Source organism: Homo sapiens, chromosome 2 (assembly GCF_000001405.40).
Source record: "Homo sapiens chromosome 2, GRCh38.p14 Primary Assembly".
Lineage (NCBI taxonomy): Eukaryota > Metazoa > Chordata > Mammalia > Primates > Hominidae > Homo > Homo sapiens.
In genome coordinates, this window is record NC_000002.12 from 35,821,143 (window position 1) to 35,822,853 (window position 1,711).

General features: G+C 36.3%; 2 annotated features.

Annotated features, from left to right (window-relative positions):
- Positions 381-882: an enhancer, noted in NCBI's record as "OCT4-NANOG-H3K27ac hESC enhancer chr2:36046589-36047090 (GRCh37/hg19 assembly coordinates)". NCBI's record gives its function as "activates a minimal SCP1, AML or CMV promoter by ChIP-STARR-seq in naive H9 embryonic stem cells {active_cell/tissue: H9 hESC(naive)}" and the evidence as "EXISTENCE:reporter gene assay evidence [ECO:0000049][PMID:30033119]".
- Positions 541-835: a silencer, noted in NCBI's record as "tiled region #1155; HepG2 Repressive non-DNase unmatched - State 23:Low". NCBI's record gives its function as "represses a minimal TATA promoter and a strong SV40 promoter by Sharpr-MPRA in HepG2 cells {active_cell/tissue: HepG2}" and the evidence as "EXISTENCE:reporter gene assay evidence [ECO:0000049][PMID:27701403]".

Sequence of the window (1,711 nt, forward strand, 5' to 3'; positions counted from 1 at the left end):
ATGTATAACTAACTATACATATATAGTATTTTTATTGTATTTACATATTGTATATAGTATATATTTATATATGTATAAATACAGTATGAAATACTATACACACACACATACACACACACCACATTTCCTTCATTGATTCAGCCATTGATGGACACTCAGGTTGATTCCAGACCTTGGCTACTGTGAATAATGGTAATTGTAGGTCTTTTTAATATCCATAAAACAGTGATGGCTAGTCAGAGAGGAAGAACATAAAAATAATCCCTTATTCAATTAATCAGTGAAAGATTGTTAAAGGAAGTTATCTACAAGCTCTTTGACATTTTGCAGACTCAAATCAGAAAAAAAAAATTTTGGTAATCTATAACTTAAAACAGAAAAAAAACTGAATTTGAAGAGTTTATGTAACTGAGTACCCCCATTTTTCTAAAAAAGAATGAGTTACCATTTTTTATTTTCTCTACTTTTCCCTTTTCTCTGTTTCCTCCTGTTCCCCACTTCCTACTTAGCCGTTTAGAAATTATAACCTTTTACCTCCCCTTCACCAGACACCTCCTATAGGGTAAGTCCATGTAACTAATGTGCTTTGAAGCTCCAGAGCAGAACTCTCTCCCACCAAGGGACTGCCTCAAGAGATAACAGTTTGTTTGCAACCCAAAGCATGCCTGCTATGAAACTCTCACCCATCAGGAGGTTGCCCCAAGAAACAATAGCCAATCTACAACCCGAAGTATGCCCTGTCTGAAACTCTCTCCCACCTGGAGAGTTTTCAGCTGTTTTTACGACCTAGTCCTGCCCATGAAGGCACCAGCAGTCACCAGCTTGACTGTCTGGTAGATAAGGCAGCAAAGCTAGCACAGGGACCCTCCACCTGCTCACTTCCTTCCCTGTGTGCCATTCATGACATGCCCCCTTCAAAAGCACCTGCTTTCTGCTCCAAAGGGAAGGTGGTACCATTTAGGCAGAAAGCCTGTACTTCTTCCCCTGAGCTAGCTTTGGAATAAAAAGTCACTTTCTCTACACCAGACTTCACTCTTGTTAATTGGACTCTGCAAGTGGCCAGCACTTGAATCTGTGTTTCAGTTACAATTAGACTAAGAATTGCTGTTATAAAAGCAGCTAGAAGCCAGAATATATGTTTTCTCAGTGGTAGAAGGTGAAAAACCTTAGGTCAATAAGCTATCCCAGTTCTTGTGGGATGATAACCACAACTTACCTGGAATAGTAAAGCTATATTCACAGTGGAATAGTGTTTTTCAATGCTGGCAATACTTAGAATTAGAAATATAGGTGATTAAATTTACTTTGTACTTTGGAAGGCTTTGTAAAGTCAGGGGATGACAGAATTTACACATACTTTAAAAGGTTTAAAAAATTTTAATAGAGAGTTATAAATGAAACTGATTATTTAAATACGTTTATTCATTTCAATTTGAGTTTATTGAATGTTATTAACCCCCCCATAGTGATCCTTAAAGTTTACTAGATTTATAAATGGTATAATAAAATTGATATGCCAAATTTAAAGGCTTAAAAGAAATGAAGATTTAAACTATTACATTAATAAACTGAATTCTAATGTAAAGTCTCAAGGAGCAATTTTTTTTTTCTGCTTACAGAAGCCTCTCCCCCAACCCATGGGTGAAAAATAAGAAAAAAACACGAATGTATGGCATTCTCATCAGCAAAATACCTGCCTGTTCCATACTGA